The following is a 13,688-nucleotide window of genomic DNA, read 5'->3' on the forward strand; positions in this document are numbered from 1 at the left end:
GCTAGCTGTTAATATCAGGAAAGAAATACAAAGAAGAAAATCTATACTGATAGGTCAATGTTGGCAGGAGATAGCTGCCTGCTTATTACTTCATATTAGAAAGAAAAATTGAAATATGAAATGATTTTGGAAAACTACATTCAACTTGTAGTTTAAGAGCAGACATTTTAACCTCTTCAGCTTGTGAGGATTAAACAACACCAGATGCAGGGTGAAGAACTTGGTATGAATATCTTAGTGAGAAATTTAGCACACACTAGCTACAGTGATGGATAAGAAGGTAATTCAAGTCTGAACTCAGGTTTAACTTAGGTGATCTTAATTGTTTTGTGTAACTCAAGGATTAAGAGGAGCATCAGAATGTGATCATAAGTTAAAAGTATATAAATGGGTCAAGAACTATGCAGTATAATAATTTATCAGAATTTTGTAAGCAAATCACATTTGTAATTCCAACCTTTTAAATTTCTGTACCTATTTATCTTTATACATCACTTTACATAATAGATTCACGATAGTTTAGAAAAAGTGGTAAAATATAAATCTGAATAAAATTAGGATTCAGAAAAATGTGAATTAAAATAGGAAGTAGAGTTGGAGGGAAATTGGAACTGAACTGTGCAAACAATGTGCTTCTCATATTTGTTATAGTTGAGGCACAGATTTGGCTTTGAGTTAAATTATAGATGTAACAAAAAAAGAGAGTCATTCATTTACACAGCTCTCATTATTTGAGAAGGCATACTGTGCTTGTTTGAATATGAGGTATGAGTCAATTTTCTAGCATCTCCAAAACAAAAAAAAAATTCACTTGAGACGTCATAGAAGAGGTACTAAGCCATTTAAAGACAATGACCTCAAAAAAAAAAAAAAAAGAAGAAAAAGAAAAAACTCCATAAAATAAAAACAAACACAAAACCTCTGATTAGAAAGGGGACAGGCATCATAAGACTCTTTCTTTTATTGCTCCTCCATAAAACCAAGGAATATAATAGTAAATTGCCATTCAAGGACAGCAAGAAAATACTGTCTAAGAACCTTTCTGATGACTTTGGTGGATACAGTGATTTAACCTAGATGATAAAAAAAAAATTAGATTACATTCGAGCAACATTTCATGAAAAAAAATTCATTTCCTAGCCTAATAAATATTTATTGGGCAACTACAATGGACAGAATGTCACAGCAGCACTGGCAGGAAATGTCCGTTTACCAAGAATGTTTACTTGCTTTCTCTCTTGAGGGCCTCTTTTATAACTCCCCTCTGCTCAAACCTGCATCTGCACCGCACTCATCCTTACTCTAAGGTGATGACCTTGTTTCTTTCTTTCCAGAGAAAATAGAAGCAGTCAAAAGGCATTTTCCCATTTCTTTACCCCAGCATCCACGCATGCACACCATATACATTGCCACGCTTCCTCCTATGTTGTGCTATTGCTGAGCCAGCCTCGGCCACATACACCACTCAAGAACAGTGTTTCAACGACTCTCTCCTTAGTCTTCTGCATTATTATTATTTTTCTCTTTTCTGGATCATTCTTGTAAGAATACAGGCTTGTGGTCATTTACCCCTTAAAAATATCTTTCCCTTGATATGAAATCTGCCTTTTATTGCCATCCTATTCTCTGCTCTATTTATAACAAGAATCCTTGAAAGACTTTTTAATATTCATTTCCTCCCATTTTTGCTTATACAGGCTACAATCAAATTTTGTCTCCATCAGTCTAGCAAAACTGCTTTTGTCGAGGTTACCTTCATCCTCTATTTTGCTAAATTTAATGGTCAATTTTCAATCCCTGGATTTCCTGACCTATCTTTTGTCATGCGTAATAAGGAGAAAAACTCTATTTCTGTTCTCTCTACTCTCTACATTCTCACATTTCTGACACCAAATGGGTGAGTCTCTTGCACACCAAGCGATTCTCTGATTTTTCGAACATCAACTGGATGTCCTAAAATTTAACTCAGTTCTGACACTAACTACTCAGAGCTAACAAAAACTCCAGAGGTTAGAATCTCAGTCCTCTTGCACATCAAACCAACCTGCTATCAATTGGGAAGTTCCTACCACCTCCTTCTTGTGTTCAAGAATTTTCTAGAATGACCCACAGAACTCATGGAAGCACATTACTTACATTTAACAGTTTATTATAAGGATGCTACTCAGGAAGAGCCAAATGGATCAGGTGCCTAGAGTAAGGTATGTGGAAGGGTGGGGAGCTTCTATGCCCTCTTTGGGTGCACCATCTTTTCAGCACCTCAATGTGTTCACCAACGTGGAAGCTCCCTGAACTTCATTGTTTAGACTTTATATGGAGGTTCCATTACATGGGCATAGTTGGTTAAGTTATTGTTCACTGGTTAAGCCAGTTTCCAACCCCTTTCTCCTCCCCAGAGATCTGAGTTGGGGTGGTCTGAAGATTCCAACCCTATAATCCGTATGGTTGGTTTTCTATGACAAGCAGCTCCCCACTCTTAGGGGCTTTCCAAAAGTCACCTCATTAACATAAACGTGAGGTTGAAAGGGGCTTGGTATGAGTCACAAAACACACTCCTTTCTCCTTTATTGCTCTGGAGATATTTCAGAAGCTGGGGACAAAACCAAACATTATGCTGAAGATGCCATAGGAGCATCATAGGTTCCAGAGCTCTGGCCAGGAGCTAGGGATGAAGACCAAAATATGTATTTCTTTCTTTTTTTTTTGAGACGCAGTCTCGCTCTATCACCCAGGCTGGAGTGCAGTGGCCCAATCTCGGCTCACTGCAAGCTCCGCCTCCCGGGTTCAGGCCATTCTCCTGCCTCAGCCTCCCGAGTAGCTGGGACCACAGGCGCCTGCCACCACGCCCGGCTAATTTTTTGTATTTTTAGTAGAGACGGGGTTTCACCATGTTAGCCAGGATGGTCTCGACCTCCTGACCTCGTGATCCGCCCGCCTCGGCCTCCCAAAGTGCTGGGACTACAGGCGTGAGCCACTGCGAATATGTATTTCTTACATCACAACATCACAAGCAGTCATTCCTTCCTCCTGGTAATACGTTTGTATGACTCCTAGGACCCCATCCTCTCTCAGTTTTCCTAAAACCCCCTTGTGGCTCCTTCTCAATATCCTTTAATATCCTTTATTGTTTCCTTATCTCTCTAACCTTCCTAAAAGGTGAAATAATCCTGAGATCATCCTTTATTTCTGTTCTGTTCTCCATCTCAATCGCTTGATGTTCTCATTTAGTCTCATGGTTTAAACACCATTTAGACCAGTGGTTATCAATTCTCACTATGTGTTCATTACTGCATGTTAACCCTCATTACATCTTAACTTGGGAGCTTCCATAAAGACTATCAAGGACCCCAAATATTCTGATTTTATTGGTTTGTCATGGGTCCCAAGAAAAAATACATTTTAGAAGCTTTCCAGTTGATTCTGATGTACAGACAGACTTGAGAAAGAAGCTGACATTTTAGGGGGGAGGCTAGAACTCAGTTCTGTACAAAACAAAGTCCTGTCTCTAACCTGCACATGCAACTGGTCACTTACAGGTCCTAAATATCTTTCAAATAAGTTTTAAATAAATTTATTCACTTCTATTTATGCCAATTATACCTTATTGTGCTAACTAAATAAGATTTATAAATGTAACTAAGAGATTGAATAAAATGATGAATAAGGCAATCAGCATTTTCTAGTTTTTTTAATCATCCCTTGCTTTAAATTTGTTGGCCTTAAGATTATTATTATTTTCTAATTACTGCTCATATTTTAGGGTAATCATACATTAAAAAATAGATTTTTAGAAGAACAAAGTAGGTTATAACCATGTATGTGCAATATGACTCAATGATGAGCTCTCTCTGTGTGGGGATTACCTCTAGGTACAAGGTCTGTGGGTGGTTTATTATCTTTGTACTAGTTCTGTATTTTTTTAATTAAATAGGCCTTATAATAATACAATATAATAAATGACAATTTAGGGATATATCGTTCTTTAAAAATAAAACCTCACATTTTGGGAGGCTGAGGCGGGCGGATCACGAGGTCAGGACCATCCTGGCTAACACGGTGAAACCGCGTCTCTACTAAAAATACAAAAAAAATTAGCTGGGTGTGGTGGCGGGCGCCTGTAGTCCGAGCTACTTGGGAGGCTGAGGCAGGAGAATGGCGTGAACCCAGGAGGCAGAGCTTGCAGTTAGCCGAGATCGCGCCACTGCACTCCAGCCTGGGCGACAGAGCGAGAGTCCGTCTCAAAAATAAATAAATAAATAAATTAATTAAAAAATGAAACCTCACAACATATTGCTATGTATGTGTTTACACATTTGTTCAAATACGTTGCTTGTTGTTTGGTGCTTAGTGATAATAGTATTTGCTTAAGTGCTCTATGTGTTGCAAAATGAGACAAAATATACGAAAATCCCATGGATTAAAACTCCAATTGAGTAACACAAATTAGAAGATACCAAGTTGTCTATGTAAAGTAGTAACATCATTTGCCTTTTTACATAGTCAGACTTTCTCTGGTATAAGCATCAAGCAACTCTATGTTAGTTTTCACTGGCTATCATTACATATATAATAAAAGACATCTTTTCTATATAGATTAAAATCAAATCACTGATGTAATTAAACCTGAAGATTCTTTCAAAAATGCAGATGGGCTGCACTTTTCGATAGCAATCTTGACCTTATGTTAGTAACATATTCCACCTGCTAGGCTAAACATTTTACCCAATAGTAGGGCAATTTAAGAATTAATTGATTCAGGAATCAAGATTAGGCAAGTTGTTTATTGTAATGAATCAAAGAGCATCCTTTTACGCCTGTAATCCCAGCACTTTGGGAGGCCGAAGCGGGTGGATCACGTGAGGTCAGGAGTTCGAGACCAGCCTGACCAACATACATGGCGAAACCCCGTCTCTACTAAAAAAAAAAAAAAAAAAAAAGGCCAGGTATAGTGGTGGACACCTGTAATCCCAACTACTCGGGAGGCTGAGACATAAGAATCGCTTGAGCCCGGGAGGTGGAGGTTGCAGTGAGCCGAGATCGCATCATTGCACTCCAGCCTAGCGACAGAGTGAGATTCCGTCTCAAAAAAAAAAAAAAAAAAAAAAAAGCATCCTTTTAGTGGCTCTGTCAGCACATCAATCACTATTGCTTAGAATTATGGAGTTTGTAGCACTTCGTTTGAACAAAAGAAGAAAGAATGAATAAGTCTTGTCCTTTTAATTCCAATAATACCTCTCTCCTCATAAAAATAATCTTATTTGTGTCTCTAGAATGTCCTAGTAACTAGTGTATTGCTATGACACAAAGTGCTTGAGTTAGAGGCTATTATTGTATGGGCTATAGTTCAAAACCATCGTTGTCAAGTGATTCACACAGAGCTTGTCACAGTACTTAAGACAGCTTCCATAAGTAGGCTGTTACCTTAGTTGGGCGATAAAAATGCAAAACAAAAAAACGAAAAACAAAACGTGGACAATGCAGGAGATACTGTGCACCTCTTACTAATTTAGGCTAATTTCCATATCCTCTGGGTGGCTTTGCCTGTTGTTTGGGATTTTCGACTCTAGATGGCGGTAAAGGGTGCACAATCACGAGCTGAGGTCAGGTTGGTTTTGAGCCAGGGCTCTCTAAGGCTGATTAGTGACAGCCTCAATTTCAGGGCTGTTTTCAATTTCATGTGTTACATAAAACAAAGGTTAATTAGTCATACTGCTCATTTTGAGAAGTAGAAATTTGCCTATAAATAGTATGCTATTCCGTGCACTAAGTCGTGTGATGCCTGTTGCTTTTAGTGTTTGACAAATTAAGGAAATATCTTGAAATGCCTGGATAAGGTGGACTTGGACATAGAACCCAGGCAAGACTGCTTTTATTGTTCCCATGGCAACATCTTCAAGCCTTTTATGCTTAATATTTTCACTAATGTCTGCTTTTTGGTAGACTCTGAAGATAGTGAAGGTGTTGCTCATAAAATAGGAAGATAGCTAGTATTTTTCCTGATTATATCTTTTGATACACCCTCCATCCATATGCACTGTCAAGACCTCTTTTCCTAGGCAATATCATTTGAAAGCAGGATGATGCGAACTTAGCTTGATTATCTCTAACATTTTCTATCTTTTATATTTTTATTTCCCAGTATTAAAGTGGGAATGGGAGCTTCTTTTTTCCCTTCAGATTTATGCACCATCTGTATTTTAAAATAATTATGGCTGTCCCTAAAGTAGCAAGTGTTTCCTAGCTGCCCTGCTACATCCTGTCTTCTAGCAGTTTATGACTGCTAACGTTAATCTTTTTCCTTGCCACCTCTCTCTCCTTTCCCTTTCTCCCTCCTTCCTTCGCTTCCTTTTCCCTTCTCTCCCTTCTTAGGTCTTTCTTTCCCTCTCTGCCTTCCTTCCTTCCCTTCTCTTTTTCTTTTTTCCTTCCTCTTTTTCTTCCTCTCTTCCTTTTTTCTTTTGGCCTTCCTAACCTCTCTGTGTCTCTTTCTTTTTCTTCTCTTTCTTTCATCTCCTGCCCTCTCTCCCCTCCTTTCTTGCCTCCTTCCTTCTTTCCTTCTTTCTCACTTTCTTCCTTCACTCCTTTGTTCCAGTGTCTTGAAAAGAGTGTAGACTTGGAGATTGGTCTTGAGCTGAATTCTACTGAAGCCTCATATATGTTGAGTATCCTTGGAAAAGTAACCTAACTTCTTTAAATATTATTTTTCTCTTCTAAAAATGGGCTAATAACACTTTCTCCATATTATAGTTGATGGGAGACAAAAGAGTTAATGTGTGCTAATCACCTGGCAGATAGTATCATTAACACCTGAGGGAAGTTAATTTATCTTTACAGTAGGAGCTGAATAAATGGTATAAAACAGTATAAACTATTTTAGTATAGTTTTCTTTTCATAGAACCTATGTATGCAATTTAAATGAAATTTTACTTACAGTTCCTCAGTGAAATGAAGTTATTTCACTCTCAAATTAATTCCTGAATAATAGCACCTTGGGTCAGAAGTTTATTGTACTCCGTTGCCACAGTGGTGGGGACAGGGCTGAATTAGGCATTAGGAGACCCACTTCTAGTTCTGCCATGAACCAGCTCTCCCTTTATTGAATCTTTTCTTAAGGGGAGGACCTTCACTTTCCGATGAGATTTTAAAAGTTAATTATATTATCTATCTTTCTTTACAGGACAACTTCTAGAATTATTGCTGCAAAGATCCGGTTATCCTCACAGGGAGTGAGTGAAAAAAAGTGGGAAGAAACTAACTTAATTCTAAGAAATGAGAGGATTACAGATCCCAGAAGATAATCAAGTGCTTCAAGACAGTTGATTAAGCCAAATTATATGTGGTAGAGAAAGATTTGTGGAGCAGTTTCAGAATATATACACATGTCTGTCTGTTGAATGTATTCCTTCCTCTTACAGGAAGGAATTCCTTCCAGGGTCATTGTATGTGATAAAGATCACTTGTAAATGAAAACTTTGGAGGTTACAGAAGAAGTAAATGTCAGAAATGAAGGAAAATAATAGCAGGTAAAGGAAAGAAAGGGAGGAATCGCAGAAATGAGAAAAACTGAAAAGGGAAGAAAGCAGAGACCACTAATTAGAAGTCGAGCATCTTGGAGGATGAAATTATGCCATAATTTTCTTCCCTTGTAAGTGATATATATATATATATGTTGGATTGAATTTTGTCTATTTTATCTTCCTTAAGGTTTGTATGACAAGTGAGGGATCAAAAGAAGGGAGAAAGGAAGGACAGGCAGTTTGAAAGATGAATAAGATTTGAAAACTCAAGAGGAAATTGAGGGGAGTTTTTTTGTGATGACAGGATACTATTCTAGTAAGGTTTATATGGCAAAGGAAGTTGATTAGTAGTTCCATGGTGATGAATATTGCAGTGAACATTTGCAACTGGACTGCTTGACACTCAGTCTAGAAGGGAGAAGTGGAGACCATCTTTCTTTCCAGCCCCTGGCGGCACATGGCCCATGGACAGTGAATGAGATGCTCTGAAAGTGCAGAGGTCCCTTTAGGGTTATTAGAAACAAGTATGTTGGAGAAGCAAGTCCAGTGGCTTGGAGGTGAGTGTTCAGGCAGAGCAGCTGCAGTCGGATGCTGAACAGACCATTCCTCTGTCAGGAAAAGTAGCTAAGCATCTTCTCCCTCAATTATTATTGAGCCTATTCTGCTAGGTTTTCAATTAGTTTTGGGAGGTGACCCTTTACAATAAACTCCTTTACTGCTTAAGTTAATCTGAGTCAGTATATAACCAACAAATACTCCTGGTGACTATAAATCAAATAAAATTAATTTTTCCAAAATACTTAATTTTATAACCTCAAATTTTAACATCCCTTTCTTAATTTGTCAAGTCTGGGAAACATTTGACATGAGAGCAAGTGAAAATATCTCAGGTTTTATAGTCAGGACACTTAGCTCTTTAGCCACTATCTTTGTCATCTTGGGCAAATTACTTAGCCTCCGCCCTTAATGAGTTTCCGCTTCTCTCATGTGTCATATAGCATCTTGGCTGCAGCTGAGATGTTTCTGGAGCATACGTTTTCCTTGGGGGGTCCTTTTCCGTTCATTCATATGCCGGAGGGCATTTGAAGAGAACATTTCCTTGGTGTGTTAGGAATGCAGGCAAGGAAAATAAGAGGGAGAGACAGCAGAGTGTCTGTCTTCTTTGGGATCTCTTCAACTGGGCTAAGCTTCTGTTTTCACAGGAACAACTAAAAAAGAGTTCAGGGACTAATTCTCATGGAAAGTCTTGAGACTGAACCAGTATAGTGTTTCTAAAAGACCCCAGAAATAAAGTGGAGTGAGAGCTAAAGAAAGAGTCTTATCTTCTATTTCTACATGTTGTCCAGGGTCGTTTTTGATGTCTTGAGGGGATCCTATCAGCAGGAGATACAGAGAGACTCCTACTGACATCAGCCTTCATGCACACATATGAAAGGAGAAACCATGTAGCTGATCCAGCCTGGAGACCATCGATGACAGCCTGGATGATGGACACAGGTGAGGGGACTCCATCAAAGAACAGACAAGACTTTGTTGTAGAAAAACAACAACAACAAAAAAAGAGGCTGACATCCTATAATAAATTTGTGTTTGGCAGAATCCTAAGGTGGCCCCAAGATTCCCACCTCTAGGTGTACATATTTTGTATACTCGCTCACCCTCTGTCTTGAGTGTAGGCAGAACTTGTGAATATGAAGGAATGTCACTCCGTGACATCTTAGGTTAGATGACAAAGGTTATCCCCTCAGGGGATCTTGATTATAGCTGCAAAATCCCCTTTGTCATCCCCTTTAAATTAATCAAAAGGGAATATGAGAGTGGTCTGCAGATAACAAGTAGCAAGAAAATGAAGACTTCGGTCCTGCAGCTGCAAGGAAACAAATTCTGCCGACAAACGCGAGAAACTTTGCAGTGAATCTTTTCCTGGTCAAGCATCCAGGTTGAGAACTCAGCTCAGCCAAGACCTTGATTTCAGACTTGTGAGAGCTTGCATGGAGAACTCAGTGACTGTCTGTAGTTTAGGAGTTAATTTTCTCACTCTGTGTATTAACTGAGTCTGCTTGTAATTTATTGTTTCTGACTTTTTTAAAAAACTGTAAATATTCATTGACTTTCTAACGGATTGCCTTTGATTGATCGATTGGTGATGGATGCTAATGGAATCTGTGACCCATTCTTTACAAATTACAGATTTCAGAAAAGGAGAGAAGCCAAAAACGTTCACTTGAGAGTGTCATTTGAAGAGGTAAGCCTCCTCAATTGACATATGTGCCCAAACATTTAGCTGCATTATTTTCTGAAGAGCCAGCAGACCATTCTGGTGACACACTCTTTGCCTTATTGTTTGCTACATAAAAACCTGAATGGAACTAAATTATAAACTAGGGCTATAGAATAAATGCAGCAATGATGGCTTGAATGGCTAAAACCTGAGATGTCACTCTCAATGAAAGGCAGTGTTTATTCCACAGCTCAGAGTCACCAATAGCATGAGATACTAAGAAAATGAAATAAACCCTAAGTTAGTAAATTACAAGAAGTCATTCTCAAAGTCCATGTCTTGTCTGTCCTTTTGATCATAAGGTCATTATGAGATACAAATACTAACATATTTAAAATTTAATAAAAAAGATTTTAAAATGTAGTTCTCAAGAGTGGTCAGCAACCTTAAAATTGGGGGCTGCAAACACATTCCACTGGCAAAGGATTATGCAAGATAAATTGTTGAACTTTAAAAGACTAATAAATTATATTGCAGTTAATTTTATTATCTTTTAATCAACAATGAAGTGGATGCACTATGTTTAAGTTTTTCAAGGATTTTGAATAGAAAATTGTGTTTTCTGGTCAACTCCCATCACCAATATTCTGGACACGAAATTTGTTCCATATAAGAAAGTAGAAGAGATGGTTCTGCTGTGCAGACACCTTAAAAAATCCAGAAATGTGGCAGAGGTGGTGGCCACCACTTGCTCCTCTTTTCTCGATTTTCTGAGCTGGACTTTTATTGAAGGATATAGGGAAATTTGAAAAGAAAATACTGCTTCTAATCCTGCAGTCATCTTCTGCTTTGGCTCTTGAGGGTTCGTTATTCTGGAAGCTGGAATGACATTCAGTAGTGTACTCTGAAAAATGGGAGGAGTTAATGCGGTTTTTTAAGGTATGATTATGGTCTCCACTTTCCTGTCTAATTTTCTGTAGGGTAATTCAACCTGTATTTCCCCATCTCTTAATGAGAATGAATAGCTACACAGTCTGTTTCAGGGGCTTTAATTGTTTCCTAGACATTGCGGATCTTTTCTAATAGTGCTTGTGATGCTTGAGACAAAGTCCCCATTCTTGAATGGTTTCTGCCAATCCGACTTTGTGAATAAACTCTAATGACAATATTTTTGAGAAAACCATCGTAAGAATGCCATCAATGTCTTGGAAGTGAATTATAGGCTATAGGAGAGCCCTGCGGGGAGGGAGGGAGCAGGGAGCCTGCAGCAGTACTGACCAAATCTTTCATGTTCCTAACTATGATGAAACAAAGTTGTTGCTTTTTTTTCAAATTGCCCTAGTTAAAAGCAGTGAACAAACTACTCAATCTTCACCCCATGACAATTTTCTTGTCTCTGTATGGAACCAGCGTTCATTTCCATCATCTGGCCTAATAGTTTGAGGCATTTTCCTTAGTAACATGTCTATTCTCTCCTTTATCATTTGCCTTATGGTGACCAGAGCCTTCTACTCCAGGTAAGTGTATCTCAAGTCTTTCTGTTTTTCTTTGTATTTTCTATCTCTCTCATTCCATCCTGCAAGTTTCTATGAGCTAACAGGAATATGATTAGTGCTAATTATGAGGCATGCTGAGGGAAAAGTGGGAATAATTTAAGAGGGAGGAGTAGTTAATTAATGTAGAGAGATGTGGATAAGAGCGGAGAGAGAGAGAGAGCCATGTCAAACAGGAATATAAAAAAATCTGAGATCAGAGATTAAGACCAAACAAGAGAAAAAAAGTCTCAACTGCATATTTCCCTGGTGCCCATGACTTTAATCAGGGGGAGAAGCTTTGGAAAACTGATGATGAAGATGTCAGGTTGCTACTTCTTGGGTTCCAGGAGCCACGCAAGTCTTAAAAATAGCTGAACGATGATCAGGAAAGGGCAGAACTTCATTCAACCCAATTTAATAATAAGGCTGAATTTTCTCTGTATATTCTCTATGGAATTAAAAAATAAGGCAACAAGAAAAGCTCATTTTGACTTTTTGGCAGCAGGGAAAGTTAAGTTCCCTGCCTTTCTTCCTGAAGAATGAGTAAAATCAAGAACAAGATTAGTTATGGGGCCACCGTTAGGTGAAAGGGTTTTTGGTGTGCTGATTAAAGGTGTTTGTGCTGTCATTGTACTGTCTTTCTTCTTGGTTTGACTTTTGGGATTACCTTCTGTACTAGTTTTCTAGGATTGCCATAACAAAATTTCAGGTGGTTTAAACAACAGAAAGTCAATTTCTTACAGACTGGGGTCTTATGAGGCTTCTCTCCTTGGCTTCTAGATGACCAGGTTCTCATGGTGTCCTCACATGGTAATCCCTAGATCTGCCTGTGGCCTCTATGTTCGAATCTCCTCTTCTCAGAAGGACACCAGGCATATTGGATTAGGGCTCACCTAGATGATCTCATTAATTACCTGTTGAAAGTCCCTCTCTGTAAATATGTTCACATTCTGATATACAAGGCACTGAGACTTCAATGCACTGATGTTTGCAGGGCACTATTCACCTCATAATACCCTGTAACCACTGATATCCAGTTCTAACCCCTAATATCCAACTATGGACCTCTACCCCTTCCATTGGTGTAGTAACACATCTGGGTTTACCTACAAGCTAGCAAGGTCTCTAAGTGTCGATCCCAGGAAAACCTGTAATGGGGTGCTGTGACCATTTTAGTTCAAAGTATTGCAGCAAAATTCTATTCCTTTTGTTTGTTTGTTTGTTTGTCATTTGACTGGTGTATTCATTAAGGTTCAACTAAATTAACAGAACTAGTAATAGTGTGTGTGTGTCTGTGTGCACGTCCACATGCACACACACCTGCGCCTGTATCTATAGAATTGGTTCACAGAGTGTTAGGAATTGGTTAATTAGTTCTTCAGAATCTATCTCCACATCTGATGCTAAAGCCTTGAGTCCACAGGGAAGGAAGTCAGGAAGAGATGAGAATGAGGAGGGTGGAATCCGTGAGCACAAACTTAAATGCCCCAACAATGGACTAAAACCCATGTCCATTCCTGCTGCTTCTGACCTTGGTGAGAACAGTACTGTATAAGTGTATCTTCATGCTGGTAATAAAGATAAACCCGAGACTGAGTAATTTATAAAGAGGAAGAGGTTTAATGGACTCACAGTTCCATGTGGTTGGGAAGGTCCCACAATCATGGTGGAAGGCGAAGGAGGAGCAAATCCACATCTTACCTGGTGGCAGGCAAGAGAGTGTGTGCAGGCGAACTGCCCTTTATAAAACCATCAGATCTTGTGAGACTTATTCACTATCACAAGAACAGCAGGGGAAAAACCTGCTCCCATGATTCACTTACCTCCCATTGGGTCCCTCCCACAACATGTGGGGATTATTACAATTCAAGGTGAGATTTGGGTGGGGACACAGAGCCAAACCATATCATTCTGCCCCTAGCCCCTCCCAAATCTCATATCCTCACATTTCAAAACCAATCAACTCAAAAGTCCACAGTCCAAAGTTTCATCTGAGAGAAGGCAAGTCCCTTCTGTCTCATATCCAGGTCGTGCTGATGCAAGAAGTGGGTTTCCATGGTCTTGGGCAGCTCCACCCCTGTGGCTTTGCAGTGTACAGCGTCCCTCCCAGCTGCTCTCATGGGCTGGCATTGAGTGTCTGCGGCTTTTCCAGGTGCACAGTGCAAGCTCTTGGTGGGTCTGCCATTCTGGGGTATGAAAGATGGTGGCCCTCTTTTCACAGCTCCACTAGGCACTAGTCCCCAGTGGTGACTCTGTGTGGGGGCTCCAATAAGTCTCATAAGATCACTATCATGAGAACAGCATGGGAAAAACGCACCCCCATGATTCAATTACCTTCCACCAGCTCCCTCTCATGACATGTGGGGATTATTACAATTCGAGGTGAGATTTGGGTGGGGACACAGAGCCAAACCATA

The 13,688-nt window shown here is 39.3% G+C and overlaps 1 long non-coding RNA gene across 1 annotated transcript in view; it reads left to right on the forward strand.

Moving 5' to 3' along the window:
- The window catches only part of LOC105372185 (uncharacterized), a 30,515-nt gene extending 20,470 nt beyond the window's left edge, over positions 1-10,045 (forward strand). Inside the window, exons 3-4 of the long non-coding RNA XR_007066413.1 lie at positions 7,176-7,643; positions 8,862-10,045. This is a non-coding gene — a long non-coding RNA (uncharacterized LOC105372185). The remainder of the gene's footprint in view (positions 1-7,175; positions 7,644-8,861) is intronic.
- Positions 10,046-13,688: the final 3,643 nt, after the last annotated feature.

The sequence above is a fragment of the Homo sapiens genome, chromosome 18 (assembly GCF_000001405.40).
Source record: "Homo sapiens chromosome 18, GRCh38.p14 Primary Assembly".
NCBI classification, from domain to species: Eukaryota; Metazoa; Chordata; class Mammalia; order Primates; family Hominidae; genus Homo; species Homo sapiens.